General features: G+C 44.8%; 1 protein-coding gene and 1 long non-coding RNA gene across 7 annotated transcripts in view, besides 2 other annotated features; one reads left to right on the top strand and one right to left on the bottom strand.

The window, feature by feature from the left end:
* Positions 1-7,854, bottom strand: part of MOB1B (MOB kinase activator 1B) — an 86,318-nt gene extending 78,464 nt beyond the window's left edge. For 4 of the 6 annotated variants that reach the window (XM_005265709.3, NM_001244766.2, NM_173468.4 and 1 more), the window contains exon 1: positions 7,155-7,336. Coding sequence is in view for 4 of the 6 variants with exons in the window: in NM_173468.4 (NP_775739.1) it covers positions 7,155-7,168 (14 nt within the window). In the remaining 2 variants the exon portion in view is untranslated. Of the gene's footprint in view, positions 1-4,313; positions 4,909-7,154; positions 7,337-7,523 lie in introns of those variants that run through there. The other 2 variants (XM_011532412.3, XM_017008837.2) reach the window with 2 other exon arrangements.
* Positions 7,007-7,056: a silencer, noted in NCBI's record as "silent region_15473". NCBI's record gives its function as "represses an Ori minimal core promoter by ATAC-STARR-seq in GM12878 lymphoblastoid cells {active_cell/tissue: GM12878}" and the evidence as "EXISTENCE:reporter gene assay evidence [ECO:0000049][PMID:35858748]".
* Positions 7,367-7,516: a silencer, noted in NCBI's record as "silent region_15472". NCBI's record gives its function as "represses an Ori minimal core promoter by ATAC-STARR-seq in GM12878 lymphoblastoid cells {active_cell/tissue: GM12878}" and the evidence as "EXISTENCE:reporter gene assay evidence [ECO:0000049][PMID:35858748]".
* Positions 7,474-10,485, top strand: LOC124900711 (uncharacterized). Its single transcript, XR_007058132.1, has 2 exons — positions 7,474-7,756; positions 9,988-10,485. It is a non-coding gene; the product is annotated as an uncharacterized LOC124900711 (long non-coding RNA).
* The last annotated feature ends 5,555 nt before the right edge of the window (positions 10,486-16,040 follow it).

Below are 16,040 nucleotides of genomic sequence, written 5' to 3'. Positions count from 1 at the left end.
GACTTCCAGGACTCAAATTCCAGCTACACTATTTACTGGCCACATGATTTTGATAAAATTATGTAACCTCTCTGTGCTAGTTTCCTTATGTATAAAATAGGATTCCTGCTAATTACTGAACTATTTAAAACACTTTGTCCCTGGCACATAGTAAACACTCATTGAACTATTATTGTTATTTTTTTTTAATGTTTTCTTTTTAGAGGCAGGGTCTTGCTCAGTTGCCCAGGCTAGAGTGTACTGGCACAAGCATAGCTCACTATAACTCAAATTGGCTCAAGCCATCCTTCTGCCTCAGCCTCCCAACGTGCTGGGATTACAGGCATGAGCTACCACACCTGGCCTATTTGATTATTCTTATAAATTATTAACTTTTTTTAAAGGTGAGGCTGCTGAAGCATTAAAATCAGTTAAATCATTTGCCTGAAAACAAAATGCTGGCTTTGGGGGCTTGGGGGGAAGTGAGGGACAGAGAGACAGAGGGAGACAGAGATAGACACATATAAACATAGCACTATCATGAGTCTAGAGAGAAAGAGACAGACACATATAAACATAGCACCATCAAGAGTCTAGAGAGAAACAGAGACAGACACAAACATTGCACTATCATGAGTCTCTTTTCCTAAATTGCTAATTTTTTTTTTTTTTTTTGAGATGGAGTCTCACTCTGTCGCCCAGACTAGAGTGCAATGGCACAATCTCGGCTCACTGCAACCTCCGCCTCCCAGGTTCAAACAATTTTCCTGCCTCAGCCTCCCGAGTAGCTGGGATTACAGGCGCCCGCCACTACGCCCAGCTACTTTTTTCTATTTTTAGTAGAGACGGGGTTTCACCATGTTGCCCAGGCTGGTCTTGAACTCCTGACCTCATGATCCACCCGCCTCAGCCTCCCAAAGTGCTGCTAAATTGCTAATCTTTTTTTTTTTTAAGACGAAGTCTCACTGTGTTGCCCAAGCTGGAGTGCAGCGGCATGATCTCGGCTCACTGCAACCTCCACCTCACGGGTTCAAGCAATTCCACTGCCTCAGCCTCCCGAGTAGCTGGGACTACAGGCACATGCCACCATGTCTGACTAATTTTTTTGTATTTTTAGTAAAGACAGGGTTTCACCATGTTGGCCAGGCTGGTCTCAAACTCCTGACCTCGTGATCCACCCGCCTCAGCCTCCCAAACTACTGGGATTACAGGCATGAGCCACCGTGCCCGGCCTAAATTGCTAATCTTAAGAATGACAAATGGAAGGTATGTAGCACAGTGCTCAGTAAGTATTTCCTTCCTTTCTTCCTTCTTTTCCCAATCCATCTGTTTCTTCCTATACAGAAATACACCTAGTTCAGCTTTCATTGTTGACATTTAAAAAAAAAAAAAAAAGAGGGCCGGGCACAGTGGCTCATGCCTGTAATCCCAGCACTTTGGGAGGCCGAGGCAGGCGGATCACGAGGTCAGGAGATTGAAACCATCCTGACTAACACGGTGAAACCCTGTCTCTACTAAAAATACAAAAAAAAAGTAGCCGGGCATGGTGGTGGGTGCCTGTAGTCCCAGCTACTCGAGAGGCTGAGGCAGGAGAATGGCGTGAACCCGGGAGGTGGAGGTTGCAGTGAGCCGAGATCGCGCCACTGGACTCCAGCCTGGGCGAAAAAGCGAGACTCCATCTCAAAAAAAAAAAAAAGAAAGAACGAAGAAATAGACATGGTTTAGTCATTCACATTCCCAAACCACCTTTCCTACAGACTTTCATTTATAAGTTAACTGTAGCCAGGCGTGGTAGCATGCACCTATAATCCCAGCTACTCTGGAGGTTGAGGTGGGAGGACTGCTTGAGCCTAGAAGTTTGAGGACAGCCCGGGCAACACAGTAACACCCAGTCTCTTTTTAAATTATTTTTTAAGACAGAGTCTCACTCTGTCACCCAGGCTGGAGTGCAGTGGTGCAATCTTGGCTCACTGCAATTTCTGCCTCCTGGGTTCAAGCAATCCACCCACTTCAGCCTCCTAAGCAGCTGAGCGCCACCACACCTGGCTAATGTTTTTTGGTAGAGATGGGGGTTCTGCCATGTTACCCAGGCTGTTCTCAAACTCCTGGGCTCAAGGTTCCACCCCCTCAGTCTCCCAAAGTGCTGGGGTTATAGGCATGAGCCACCACCGTCCTCGGTGACCCTGTCTCTTAACAAGAAAAAGTTAAATTAAATGTACTTGTTTTAACTCCGTTCCAAATAAGTAGCCTTACATTAGGAAATTACACTTTGGTCTTTTCCAAGTCAAATTTTTTTTTTTCAGAATTCCATTAGTCAAAAGAGACCCATAATTTAAAAATGCTAGAAACTTAAGAGAACATGAAATATACTTTTTGAATGATTACTTAGAACTCACTTTTATCCTCAATTTCCCTGCCTTTTATATGCACAAAATGTCAGGAAGGAAAAACACCTACGTCAGGAGACCTGAGTTCCAACTGTCCCCAGGCCAATAATTGGGCCACCAACCTCAAGTTGGTGATTTTGCCCCTTTAGCAAAAAGAAGTAAGTAGGCCATGTTACTAATAGACCCCTGCTAGCTCCAAAATTCTACAGCCTCTTGCACAAACGTGGAAGTGAACAATTCACAGGCAATTTCTTGACTCAAAGATGTTTCCTCTGACTGTACTCTCCCATTTCCCCTTGTCTTCTTAGAGAGCTCTTGTTCACCTTCCATTAATTATCACCCACTTCTTTCATGAAACTTTCCTAAAGCCTAAGTAGAACAAATTGCTACACATACTTTGGGCCCCCATGATTGTATTGCATCTATCATAGATGACGATATACCATCCACCATCTCTGGAATCTCTTATCTTCCTCTACGCCTGGCACACAGCAGGTGCTAAGGATGTGTTTAAAAGATTTGAGTCCACAAAATTAAATGAGGTCCCTGTGAAGTTTCCGTATCTACCATGAGAGTTTAGCTTAATCTGAAGATACACAGAGGCCAAACTGCGGCACAACCAAAGCTCTGTCCCAGCCAAACCCACATATGCAGTGCAAATTTATCCTGAGCATTTATACAAAAGCTACACAAAGGTATCATTCCTGCAGATGATCTGGGAACCCACTCTGGGGATTATCCTAATCTGTCTCAACTCCCTATCCAAAAATCTCTATACCCTGCTCTCCTTTGTTCCATGGCACTTACAACCTTCCGCCATACTACATGATTTATTGATGTTCAGTATTTACGGACACTTACCAGAACATAAGCCCCACCAATGCAGGGATTTTTTTCTCTCTTGTCACAAATGGTGCCCAACATCCACATCAGTGCCAGGCACAGTGATTTTTTTTCTTTTTTTGAGACGGTCTCACTCTGTCGTCCAGGCTGGAGTGCAGTGGCACAATCTTGGCCCACTGCAACCTCTGTCTCCCGGATTCAAGTGATTCTCCTACTCAGTCTCCCATGTAACTGGGATTATAGGCATCCGCCACCACGCCCGGCTAATTTTTTTTATTTTTAGTAGACATGGGGTTTCATTTCTTGATCAGGCTGGTCTCAAACTCCTGACTTCAAGTGATCCACCCACCTCGGCCTCCCAAAGTGCTGGGATTACAGGCCTGAGCCATTATGCCCCGCGACCGGCCTTTTTTTTTTAAGACAGAGTCTCACTCTCTATCAGCCAGGCTAGAGTGCAGTGGCATGATTACATCTCACCACAGCCTTGAAGTATTTAATTTCCTCAGGCTCAGATGACCCTTCCACCTCAGCCCCCAGAGTAGCTGGGACTACAGGCTCACACCACCACACCTGGCTAATTTTTGTATTTTTAGGGGTAGAAAGAGAGTTTCGCCATGTTGTCCAGGTTGGTGTGGAACTCTGGGGTCAAGTGATCCACTCACCTCAGCCTCCCAAAGTGTTGGAATTACAAGCAGGAGCCACTGTGCCCGGCCCACAGTGCATCTTTTAAAAATCAGTAGTAGTTCTTTCCTTCTATCTTAGAGCCCTCAAGAGTCATGAGTCACCACCTTTGCAGCCCCATCTTGCATTGCCCTTATTTCCTCTGCTCCATCCACTGATCGTAGGCTTCCCAGTAAGCTTCCAAGAACGGGAGGAAAATATTTGTATTTAACTCCTAAGCTGTAACGCTTTCCTTCTCTGCTCATCTGTTGGTACAGAAATAGTATTCAGATAGCCAGGTGTAATGGCTCACACCTGTAACCTCAGCATCTTGGAAGGCAAAGATGAGTGGATTGTTTGAGCCCAGGAGACCAGCCTGGGCAACATGGCAAAACCCTGACTCTACCGAAAAAAAAAAAATTAGCTAGGCATAGTGGAGCATACCTGTAGTACCAGCTACTTGTAGCGGGGAGGGGGTTTGAGATGAAAGGATCACCTGAGCCTGGGAAGTCAAAGCTACAGTTAGCTGTGGTCATGCCACTGCACTCCATCCTGGTCGACAGAGTGAGATCCTGTCTCCAAAAAAAAAAAAAGAAACAGTATTCAGACAGTTATACCAAATAACAAATAGAAGAAATAACCAAAGCTTTGTTCTTTCACTTCCAATAATAATCATTTCCATGTGGTGTTCACTTTGGATTTTTAATTGACGGTAGACAAAGACCAAAACTGAAAATGTTGAATTAACTTTTCTGATTGTCAAGCACATGGGCTAAATATGTTGAGAATATATCAACTGCTAGATAGATATAACCTAACTGAAAAATTGTGCCCCAAATAGTGCAAATGCTCTAAAGTTCTATATACATTAGTTACAGCAAGATTTCTTTTGTAGTTACTAACCTTCAGGAGAAACAAACTAATCCACCACAAATCTGAATCTATTAAATACTGAGCCATGTAAAAATAGGATTCTACTGTATTTGTATTCAAAAAATAGCATCAGAAACTTCTCCATCCCCTAGTTTCAGCCAAATATGGCTCTTCCCTGCTTTAACCTTTTTTTTTTTTTTTTTTGAGACAGAGTCTCACTCTGCCACCCAGGCTGGAGTGCAGTGGCGCGATCTCGTCTCACTTCAACCTCTACCTCCCGGGTTCAAGTGATACTCCCGTCTCAGCCTCCCAAGTAGCTGGGACTACAGGTGCGTGCCACCTTGCCCAGCTAATTTTTGTATTTTTAGTAGAGACGGGGTTTCACCATATTGGCCAGGCTGATCTCGAACTCCTGACCTGGTGATCTGCCTGTCTTGGCCTCCCAAAGTGCTGGGATTACAGGCATGAGCCACCGCGACTGGCCTTGCTTTAACCAATTTAGCTTACTAGACACAAGCCCATCAGCAGTAGTCATGGATATCATCTACAGTGCTATTTTGAATACAGCTTCTAAATTCTTGAAAACAATCAAACATTAGCAATGTAAAATTAAGCTCAAGATGAGAAGCTTCAAGTTGAGATACCTGAATATGGTGATTAGAACTAAAACAAGAAACTGCCCAGGCACGGTGGGCTCACGTCTGTAATCCCAGCACTTTGGGAGATCAAGGCAGGCAGATCACTTGAAATCAGGAGTTCGAGACCAGCCTGGCCAACATGGTGAAACCCCCATCTCTATTAAAAATACAAAAATTAGCCAGGCGTGGTGGCGCGGGCCTGTAGTCCCAGCTACTCAGGAGGCTGAGGCAGGAGAATCGCTTGAACCCGGGAGGCAGAGGTTGCAGTGAGCCGAGATCACGCCACTACACACTCCAGCCTGGTGACAGAGCGGAGACTCCGTCTCAAAAAAAAAAAAAAAAAAAAAAAAGAACTAAAATAAGAAACAAGGACTTTTTTATAAAATCACCCAGTCCTGTCATCTAGCCCTATGCCAATCCGACAAACTCAGAATCAACTTCTAGGAGGAGCCTAAGAAATCCCTTTCCGTTTAAAGGTTTTAGGCAAGTTGACACAAGCCAGGTCCCCTATGCATATTGGAAATATCAAGTCTGCCCCTAGGTCAGCCTTGTTCAGTTTTGCTTAAACACCCTAAAAAAAAAAATTCTAGATGTGAGCATGTGAAAATAAGAGTGAATTAAATTCTCAGTATTCAGACGTCAATGTAATGACTAAAAATTATTAGGCAAGGAAAGAAGAGAAATCTTAAGAAAATATCCTTTAAATGCTAATTTCTCCACAACAGTAAAACAGTATATGGGTGAGTTTCAACTTCTAAGTTTTTTATTAGTTTTCTAAACACAGACTAAACATGGAATGAGTGCATCACAACGAAGCCTTCAAAGGAGTTATTCCTCAGGCTGTAACCCCTGTTTTCAGAGGACCTGAGGCTTATCTACTGCCTCCATATCCACATCTGGCCATCCCATCCTTCTGCCCTTCCCCCTCCACGTTCCCCTCCACTCGTCTGGAACAAACGATAAGTAAGTGAAATAATGACCAGCACTAAACATGACGCCAAAGTTGGCATTTACAAATGATTTTCAAAACAACTCCCCAGTGGACCTAATCAACCTAGGCAGGGCACACTATCCAAAACCTATTTGCTGGTTGTCTAAAAAGATAAAACTCATCCTCTTCAGGGAAGTCCTCTGGGAGGAAGGGCGCCTCTAGGAAGCAAGGGGGCGGCTCCAGACCCCTTTCTCAGGGACCCCCGTCTGTGTCCAAGGGATCCCGACCCGCAAGTAGCCTTGTTTCAGTGTTACATCTACAGAACTTGTCATCCCAACTTCCCAGCCCTAAGACGAGAGAGGAAGTTAAAAGGGTCCTGGGATGACAGGGGAAAGTACGACAGTCTTATCTTCTGTGCTTGGGACCCAGAAAAGAGCAATGGGCAGCCGCGACGGAGCCATTCAACCGAGCACCGCTTGGATACGGATTGTGCAGGCGAGTGGGAGATACCCACGAGAAGCGCACAAACAAGCCCGGGAATGCGAGCGAAGGCAGAGACGGGGGTGATGAAGGAATCCAGGCGCTGGCCCCGGGGTGTGCCGGGGGGGAAGAACCTCCTCAGGGCTGCAGGAGCCCACGAGTACTCGAAGCCCTATGGGGAGGCGGCGGTTAGGTAGTCCGAGCGCTCCGCGCAGTCCCGGGGCCCCGCTTGGTGGTGACGCCGGGCCCCGGGAGCGCTGGGCCAGGAGGGTCGGGACGAGGGCGGGCGACGGGCGGCGGGCGGCGGGCGGGGGCCCAGGTCCACCCGAACAAAGCCGGCGCGTGCGGGGCCTGGCTACTCACAACAAGAAGCTCATGTTGGCCGCGGGGCAGGCTGCAGGCTCGGCGGTCGCGAGGCCTCGGAGCGGCGTGGGCCAGGAAAGAAGAGGAAAGGCGAATGGAACAGGAGACAGGGAGGCGGAGGAGGAGGTGCCGAGAGCCGGCTGCTCGGTGGCCGCAACTAGTTCGGCTCAGCTAGTTCCAATGGCAGGGGGAGGGGGCGGAAGTGGGTAGCGCTCGTCTTGAATCACTCCAGGGGAGGGGAAGGAAAGGGAGGCGGGGCAGGCTCTCCGCGAGCCCCTCCCCAGCTCCCCGCCGCCCCCACCTCACGAGCTCTCGCGATAGCGGTGCAAGCCCACCCCGGCCCTCCGGCTGCGGCATGGGGACTCTCACCTTCTGGTCTCCTCTGCTGCTAGGGACGACGCCCAGCGTGTGCGCCGCGGCTGCCCGGCCCCCCTGTCCACCCGGTTAGGAGTCATGGCAGAGCTCTCGGAGCCGCTCAGCTGGGCTCCAGAGGTCAGGGAGGAAGTGGGCTTCAGCTCGGGGATGTCAAGGTCCCGCAGTGAGGGATGGAATTACCACCGGAGTTAGGCCCACCGTGAGTGTCCGGCCAAGGGCGGTGAAAGGTAATGGCATCTCTCAGTTCACCACGGAACCCAGCATGATAGGGTGGTCATCGGTGTAACCACTTAGGGGGCCAAAGCTTGTAAGCATTCTAATGCACAGAACATCCTAGAAGCTAGAAGCTATTCAGACCCACTTACAAAGGGACTTTTATTCTCACAGGGTTATGGGGCCCAGGGCAAGCCTTTATATTCTGTTTAAGAATCCTTCACATACCTTGAATATGTCACCACAGCATTACCAATTTAGGAGGGAAATACGGGTATCGAAGAGATGTCCGTCTTCTTTACTCACAACACCCATCAAATCTACAAGTTTTCAAAGAGAATCTGAGCAAAACAAATCATGTGCAGATATTAGCTCACCTTTGGCTTATCCCAAAGGGCAGAATACACTTTGAAGTAGGTGCAGATATGAAATGTATTATACTGCATATATGCACTATTATTTGGCACGTTGGTAAAGTGGTAAAAAAAAAAAAAAAAAAAAAAAAAAAAAAAAAAAAAAACGTTTTAGGCCGGGCGCAGTGGCTCATGCCTGTAATCCCAGCACTCTGGGAGGCCGAGGTGGGTGGATCACCTGAGGTCAGGAGTTCAAGACCAGCCAAAGTTCAAGACCATGGCCAAACCCCGTCTCTACTAAAAATACAAAAATTAGCCGGGCATGGTGGCACACACTTGTAATCCCAGCTACTCGGGAGGCTGAGGCAGGAGAATTGCTCCAACCCAGGAAGCAGAGGTTGCAGTGAGCCAAGATCATGCCACTACACTCCAGCCTGGGTGACAGAGTTAGACTCCGTCTCAAAAAAAAAATTTTTTAATAGAAGAAAATACTAGAATCTTGCACTATCTCAGGAACAGCAGAGGTTACTGGAATGAGAAAACTTACAGACTCAAAAGATTACCAGATCAGGATAAATAGCTAATGCATGCAGAGCTTAATACCTAGGTGATAAGTTGATAGGTTCAGCACACCACCATGGCACACACGTTTACCTATGTAACAAACCTGCACGTCCTGCACATGTATCCTGGAACTTCAAATTAAATTAAAAATTTTTTAAAAGATTCCCCAAAAAGAAGAAAGAGGAGGATTTATCTGAATGAAAATAATAGATTTATGGTATAAAACCCTGTGCTCCAAATATTGATATGGTACTGACTTACTGTATAATTCTTTTTTTTTTTTTTTTTTTTGAGACGGAGTCTCACTCTGTCACCCAGGCTGGAGTCCAGTGGTGCAACTTCTGGACTAGGCTCACTGCAACTTCTGCCTCCTGGGTTCAAACAATTCTGCCTCAGCCTCCTAAGTAGCTGGGATTACAGGCCTGTGCCACCACACCTGGCTAATTTTTGAATTTTTAGTAGAGACGGGGTTTTACTATGTTGGCCAGGCTGGTCTCAAACTCCTGACCTCGTGATCTGCCTGCCTTGGCCTCCCAATATGCTGGAATTACAGGCGTGAGCCACCACGCCCAGCCCTGTATGATTCTTGTAAGGGTCTTCTGAAAGTAAGACTTGCATTACCAGATTACTGATTATCTTTGGAAAGAGTGAGTTGACCTGTCATAGCCTCAGTTTTAGCCCATTTAAAATGGGAGCCTTCTATCATTACATGATCTCTAAAATATCTTCCAGTTCTAAAGTTCTCTCCTGCCAGGGGCATCCTTCAAATGACTGGCACACATTTCCAAACTGCTCCCTGATTTGGCTTAGGTAGCCTTAGTTTTGGTCTGACATAATTTAGATGTATCCTGTGACACTGAATAAGGGAAAACTGGCAGAGGAAAGAATCTGCAAAAATACCTTCTGAGTATTTCTTTATCATACCACTAGGAGAGTTGCCTGGAATTAACATCCAATAAAACGTAAATATACTGGTCCTAAATGTGAGGGAGGTGTCAGGTTAATAATATACAATATGATTCCAGGTTAGACTTTAAATCAAATGATGTCTGTCATATAAAATTATTCAGCATATCAAAAACATTGGGAATTTCAGAATCAAAGAGAGTTTATATTCAAATAGATATTTATAATTATCATCTCTTCTGACCAAAATCTAATAACCTTTTGTTTATGAAGCAAGATTATTAAAATTTTTGTTCTATCCAACTTTTCAAAGAATTGAAATTATACTGTAACATGTACAGAATAGAACAGAACATGAGTGGGCATATGCTCTTTAAATATTCATTTGAATAAAGACACATGCACATGTTTGTTTATTGCAGCACTATTTACCGTAGCGAAGACTTGGAACCAACCCAAATGCCCATCAACGAGAGACTGGATAAAGAAAATGTGGCACATATACACCATGGAATACTATGCAACCATAAAAAAGAATTAGTTCATGTCCTTTGCAGGGACATGGATGAAGCTGGAAACCATAATTCTTAGCAAACTAACACAGGAACAGAAAGCAAACACCACATGTTCTCACTCACAAGTGGGAGTTGAACAATGAGAACACATGGACGCAGGGAGGGGAACATCACACATCAGGGCCTGTCGGGGGGTGGGGGGCAAGGGGAAGGAAAGCATTAGGACAAACATCTAATGCATGTGGGGCTTAAAACTTAGATGACAGGTTGATAGGTGCAGCAAACCACCATGGGGGTTGATAGGTACAGCAAACCACCATGGCACATGTATACCTGTGTAACAAACCTGCACTTTCTGCACATGTATCCCAGAACTTAAAGTAAAATTAAAAAAAAAGAGGGAAATGTGTGTGTGTGTGTATGTATATGTATATATATTCATTTGAGGCCTGATGCCATGGCTCACACCTATAATCCCAGCACTTTGGGAGGCCGAGATCGGAGGATTACTTGAAAGCAGGAGTTTGAGATCAGCCTAGTCAACATAGTAAAACCCCCCATCTCTATGAAAAAATAAAAAAAAAAGAATAAATATATTCTAAGTGTATTTTGGCATGCTACACAATCACACTTAACAAAGCTAACAATTCAACCTGACCCTTATCAGTGCTCCTTAGATTTTAATTCTATTTCTTGCTTCATTAAAGACTAGCCAATGTACAATTTTAAGTGCTTCTCAAGGACAGATTAATTTGAATAATAGAATAGAATGGCACACACTTGTAATCCCAGCACTTTAGGAGGCAGAGGCGGGCGGATCTCTTGAGGTCAGGAGTTGGAGACCAGCCTGGCCAACATGGTAAAACCCCATCTCTACTAAAAGTACAAAAGTAGCCAGGCGTGGTGGCACGCCCTGTAATCCCAACTATTCAGGAATTTGAGGCACAAGAATCTCTTGAACCCGGGAGGCAGAGGTTGCAGTGAGCCAAGGTCACGCCAATGCACTCCAGCCTGGGTGACAGAGTAAGACCCTGTCTCAAAAAAAAAAAAAAAAGAAAGAAAAGAAAAAAAGAATGGAGGGCCCAGGCACAGTGGCTCATGCCTGTAATCCCAGCACTTTGGGAGGCTGAGGCAGGCAGATCACCTGAGGTCAGGAGTTTGAGACCAGCCTAGCCAACATGGCAAAACCCCATATCTGCTGAAAATACAAAAATTAGCCCTGCGTGGTGGTGGGTGCCTGTAATCCCAGCTACTCGGGAGGCTGATTCGGGAGAATCACTTGATCCTGGGAGACGGAGGAAGAAGTGAGCCAAGATTGCGCCACTGCACTCCAGCCTGGGCGACAGAGCGAGACTCAGGCTCCAAAAAAAAAAAAACAAAACAAAAAAAGAAAGGAATGGAGACATGAAAGACTGATGAAGCTTGATGTCTTTCAGTGCATTTATTTATTGCTAAAACCCACAAAGCATCAAAACACAGAGCCTGCCGGGCGCAGTGGCTCACACCTGTAATCCCAGCACTTTGGGAGGCCAAGGCGGGCGGATCACCTGAGGTCGGGAGTTCAAGACCAGCCTGACCAACATGGAGAAACGCCGTCTCTACTAAAAATACAAAAAAATCAGCCAGGTGTGGTGGTGCATGCCTGTAATCCCAGCTACTCAGGACGCTGAGGCAGGAGAATCGCTTGAACCCAGGAGGCAGAGGTTGTGGTGAGCCAAGATTGTGTCATTGCACTCCAGCCCGGGCAACAAGAGTGAAACTCCGTCTCAAACAAACAAACAAAAACAACAACAAAAAAACAAACACAGAGCTTATTATTTAATGTTTAAAATGGAAGAAGGAATGTTTTATTGACCACAAACCTAACCCAGTACCCTCCCCTTCAAGCTCGTTACTCTTTTGAATATGAGGTTTATGCAATAGGATGGCTAGATTTTGGGTTATAATCATTTATCTACTCAACAAGAATTCATTGAGTGTCTACTATGGGCCTCTGAGAGTTAAAAAAAAAAAAAAAAGGCCCTAGTGTTTACCATCTGAATCCTATAGGTCATTGGGAAATACAAGTAATCAAATAAAAGCAAAGTTAGAAAATGTGTAAATGTCATGAAAGAAAGGGCCTTGTTGTATATGAAGTCTTTTTTATTTTTTCAAGCAGAGTCTCACTCACTCTGTCACCCAGGCTGGAGTGCAGTGGCACGATCTCGGCTCACTGCAACCTCCACCTCCAGGTTCAAGTGATTCTCCTGCCTCAGCCTCCCGAGTAGCTGGGATTACAGGTATGCATGACCACACCTGGTTAATTTTTGTATTTTTTAGTAGAGACGGAGTTTCACCATGTTGCCCAGGCTGGTCTTGAACTCCTGACCTCAAGTGATCTGCCTGCCTCAGCCTCCCAAAGTGTTGGGATTACAGGTGTTAGCCACTGCACCTGGCCTGTATATGAGTATATATTAAAGGGATCTTACCTATTTTGGTGGTCAGAGAACTGGATCTTGTCTATTCAGAAGTGAGTAGCATGTATATACTCCTTGTATTGTATTTAAATTCTGGTTACATTTATAAACAGCATAATTTGATAAAACAACTTTCCTAATCATCATGCCAACTCCCTTTTGGTGTTTGGAAGCACCACAACATAAAAATTGATTTTTGTTTTCAAAAAGCCAGTCTTTCAAAACTTTTTAGAAAGTACTACTTTGTGTATAATTTTGAGGATCTTAGTCCATAGGACAAAAATTATGAAAGATTCACTGGCCAGGTACAGTGGCTCACGCATCCCAGCATTTTAGGAGGCCAAGGCAGGAGGATCTTATAAACAGCCTGGGCGACATAGGGCAACCCTATCTCCACAAGAACAAAAAATTGCTGGGCATGCACCTGTAGTCCCAGCTACTTGAGAAGCCAAGGCAGAAGGAGTGCCTGAGTTCAGAAGTTCCAGGTGGCCGTGAGCCGCGATCCAGTCACTGCACTACAGCCTGGATGACAGGGTGAGAACCTGTCTCAAAATAAAAAGTTTCTTGCATGGGCCTTGTACTTGCTCAATAAATGCTGAATTGAATTTCTTGGTACATCAAGTTTACCATTGCCCGCAATTAACTGTTTTTCCCACTAAATTCAAACCACATAGCAGTAAGCTGCCATGGGGAGAAGGAGGGAAGGTCCTTTTCAAGCCTATTCAAAACAGCTTATCCCAAATTGATAGGACATTACCAAGGTTGGAAAGTCTAAAATTAACTCCGCCAGCTGTGTTTTGGTTTGCTTCAGATAGCACATGGGCTCAGGGGGCTCAATTTGCTAGGCTTGTTTGTTGCTCCAATCTGCTGTGCTCTGAAAAAGTTTGTTTGCCTGGAGTGCACGTTGTGCACAAGACATGGTAACTAGGCAGCTTGAAAGTATATTGGAACTAAACAAATAAGTCTCTCCTTGAATCTCAGAAAAGCCTAGCAACAATGTAGGGGGATGGAGGAGTTATTGCTGAGTAGGTCATATGAATGGTTTAACATTTAACCTTGCTGAAGTTTCCCAGAGAGCAGGCTGCTGATGTGCTGACAGAGATGAAAAGATGACGATGTAGTTTCAAAGAGTCTGTGTTTTTAGCCCACCCATCTCCACGAGGTCCTTTAGCATGAAGGACCATATATAGACATAGAGAGTATCCCAACTGGGTGCAACTTAAAAATATCCTAAGTATCAGCAGCTGTTACTTTCACCCACACAAATTCACAGTTGGCTTAATTAAATAGTGCCTGTTCTCAAGAGCCGCAGTACCCTAGGTACTTATGCTGCTTCCCTCTACTTCATTTCCTTCCTCAAAATAACAAAAAGCAGAATGGATGAATGAAAGGAATCAATTATTAGCAGTTCAGGGTTTGCTTCTATGTAAATAATAGAATGTAGAAGTCAGATCTTTGAATAGGGTTTTGACTCCCTGCCACTGGAATCCAAGGACAACCACTGGAATCCAAGGACCCTATGCAGTCCCTACTCTTGGACATTTGTTCTCTTGTGCCCATGGCCATTACCACGCCCTCTTCTTGGCATCTCTCTCATGTTTTCCAGAGTTGTCATAGTCACAACCATAGCAACCTGAGCAGGCCACAATCCTCTTATAGCTGGAGACATGAGATACTACGTTATACAACATAATTCCCCTGTCCTACACCAACAGGAGTTTGGTTCCCAATAGTCAAACCATTTATTTTTCCTCAGGATAAGTATTCCAGCCTTTCCCAAATGTTACTATTTTTGAGGTTTCTATGGCATCAAAGTAACCAGAAAGCATCCACTGAGTGGAAAACCAAGGTAATCAATCCCACCTTGAAATTTGACCAAGTATTTCTAAATCCCTTATTTATGGGCTGTACTCTGTGTTTCCACAAGAATAATTCCATTTGAATACAGAATAAAGAGATTTAGCAAAAGAAAATCTTAGTAGGCAAGAAGATTTCCTATCCAAAATAGTGCTTTTAAAGAAAATGATCTTGTAATGCACTCCTTAACAGGGAGCTGTCTGAGACCTTTCTGGAACCCTGCAGGGTGAAGGACCACTTGCAAGATTCAGTCAGTTGTCAGTGATGTTTCTTAAACATCTGCCATAAACCAGTCACCACACTAAGAGTAAGGATACAAAAGAAATACGCAATATCACAACCTCAAAGAACTCATTTCTTGTTTGTTTTTGGTTTTTTTTTTTGAGACAGAGTTTCACCATGTTGCCCAGGCTGGAGTGCAATGGCACAGTCTCAGCTCACTGCAACCTCCACCTCCTGGGTTCAAGCAGTTCTCCTGCCTCAGTCTCCCAAGTAGTTGGGATTACAGGCATGCGCCACCACGCCCGGCTAATTTTTGGTATTTTTAGTAGAGACAGGGTTTCACCATCTTGGCGAGGCTGGTTTTGAACTCCTGGTCTCATAATCCACCTGCCTCGGCCACTGCGCCCAGCCAACAAAGAACTCACTTCTAATGGCAGAGGCTGACATGTAAACAAATCATTACAGGACAAAATGATTCCTTTTATAACAGGATTATACACAAAAGGCTACAGGAGGCCAGACACAGTGGCTCACGCCTGTAATCCCAACACTTTGGGAGACTGAGGCAGGTAGATTACCTGAGGTCAGGAGTTCAAGACCGGCCTGGCCAACATGGTGAAACCCCGTCTCTACTAAAAATACAAAAATTAGCTAGGTGTGGTAGTGGGCGCCTGTAATTCCAGCTACTTGGGAGGCTGAGGCAGTAGATTCACTTGAACCCGGGAGGCGGAGGTTGCAGTGAACCGAGAGCACACCATTGCACGCCAGCCTGGGCAACAAGAGCAAAATTCCGTCTCAAAAAAAAGGCTACAGGAGCCCAGCTGATTTTTATTTTTTAAAAAAGGATTGATTTGAGGAGGAAGATAAGGATCAAGGAGTGTTTTACCAAAACAAGGGGAGTTTTAAAGGATTATTATACCTTCTCCAGGTTTAGAAGAGGCGATGGAGGAGTAAAAAGACGGAGAAAAGGCGTTGCAGAAAGAGGACGCAGCATGTATAAAGCCTAAAATGTGTAAAGGCATTAAAAAAAAGTGTAGACGAAATGCTGACTACTGCAATAGTTGGCACATTAATATAGACTCTCATTTGCTCGTTCATTCAACAAATATTTATTAAGCACGAACTGTACACCACTTGTGTAAGTATACACTGGGGACATAATAGGGTACAAAATCAAGTTCCTCCCCTAAGAAGTTTACATTCTAGTGGGGAAGGGATATTCTAAATATGTCAGTGTATAAACTCCCTAGTTGTATTTGCATTTTAATTATCCCTAACTATGACATGAAAATCTCAAGCCTTCTTTTTTCTTTTCTTTTTTTTTTTTTTTTTTTTTTGAGACAGCGTCTCGCTCTGTGCCCAAGCTGGAGTGCAGTGGCGCGGTCTCGGCTCACTGCAAGCTCCGCCTCCCGGGTTCACGCCATT

Source organism: Homo sapiens, chromosome 4 (genome assembly GCF_000001405.40).
Source record: "Homo sapiens chromosome 4, GRCh38.p14 Primary Assembly".
In the NCBI taxonomy this organism is placed as follows: Eukaryota; Metazoa; Chordata; class Mammalia; order Primates; family Hominidae; genus Homo; species Homo sapiens.
Note: the sequence above shows the minus strand (reverse complement) of the source record. Positions and strands in the feature narration are given on the sequence as shown.